This window comes from Homo sapiens, chromosome 5 (genome assembly GCF_000001405.40).
Source record: "Homo sapiens chromosome 5, GRCh38.p14 Primary Assembly".
NCBI classification, from domain to species: Eukaryota; Metazoa; Chordata; class Mammalia; order Primates; family Hominidae; genus Homo; species Homo sapiens.
In genome coordinates, this window is record NC_000005.10 from 50,381,895 (window position 1) to 50,383,277 (window position 1,383).

Below are 1,383 nucleotides of genomic sequence, written 5' to 3' on the forward strand. Positions count from 1 at the left end.
ATTCATCACATACAGATAACTAAAGACAGAAACCATATTTTAATCTCAATAGATGCAGAAAAGGTTTTCAATGAAATTCAACACCTCTTCAAAAAAAAAAAAAAAGAAAGAATTAGTGAACTCAAAGATAAGAAAACAACAGACTTGAACAATGCTACAGGCCAAATTTACCTCAGAGATCTGTAATAAACATTCCTCTCACTAGTGGCAGAATCTGCATTCTTCTCAAGTAAACACGGAATATTCTACAGGATATGTCACATATTAGGTCACAAAACAAGTTTTAACAAACTTAAGATTGAAATGAAACCAGGTATCTTTTCTGAGCACCATGAAATTAAACTACATACTATAAATGGTAATAAAATAAATGGGACACACACAAAAAATGAAGTTACCCAATGCTCATGAGTTGAAAGAATCAATAGTGTTAACTTGTCCATACTACCCAAAGTGTTCAACACATTCAATGCAATCCCCATCAAAATTCCAGCTGAATTAATTATATTTCTTTACTGAAGTTAAAACAGAAATATAGATCAATGGAACAGAATAGAGAGCCCAGAAATAAAATCATGCATATACAACCAACCGATCTTCAAAAAGGGTGCCAAGAATACACAATGGGGTAAAACAGTCTCTTCCACAAATAGTGTTAGGAAAACCAGATACTCACATGCGGAAGAATAAATTGGACTCTCATCTCACACCATATATAAAAATCACCTCAAAATAAAGGCTTAAATGTAAGACCCCAAACTGTAAAACTCTTAGTACACATAGGGGGAAAGCTTCTGGATGTTGGTCTTGACAATGATTTCCTGTATAAGACAAAAGCCCAGGTAATAACAACAAAAATGAACAAGTGAAACTCCTTTAGACTAAATAGCTTCTGTATAGCAAAAGAACCAATCAACAGAGTGAAAAGGCAGCCTATAGAATGGGTTAAAATATTTGCAAACCACATATCCAGTAATGGATTAATCTCCAAATATATAAGGAACTTCTACAACTCATTATCAGAAAATAATTTTAATGAGCAAAGGATTTGAATAGACATTTCTCCAAAGATGACATACAAATGGCCAAAAAATATATAAAAAAGCATTCAAACTGGGCTCAGTGGCTTACACCTATAATCCAACACTTTGGAAATCTGAGGTGAGAGGATCACTTGAGCCCAGGAGTTCGAGACCAGTCTGGGCAACATAGTGAGACCCTATCTCTACAAAACATTTAACAATTAGCCAAGCATGGTGGTACACGCCTGTAGTCCCAGTTACTCAGGAAGCTGAGGCAGGAGGATCACTCGAGTCCAGGAGATTGAGGTTGCAGCAAGCTGTGTTTGCACCACTATACTCCAGCTGGGTGGCACAGTGAGAC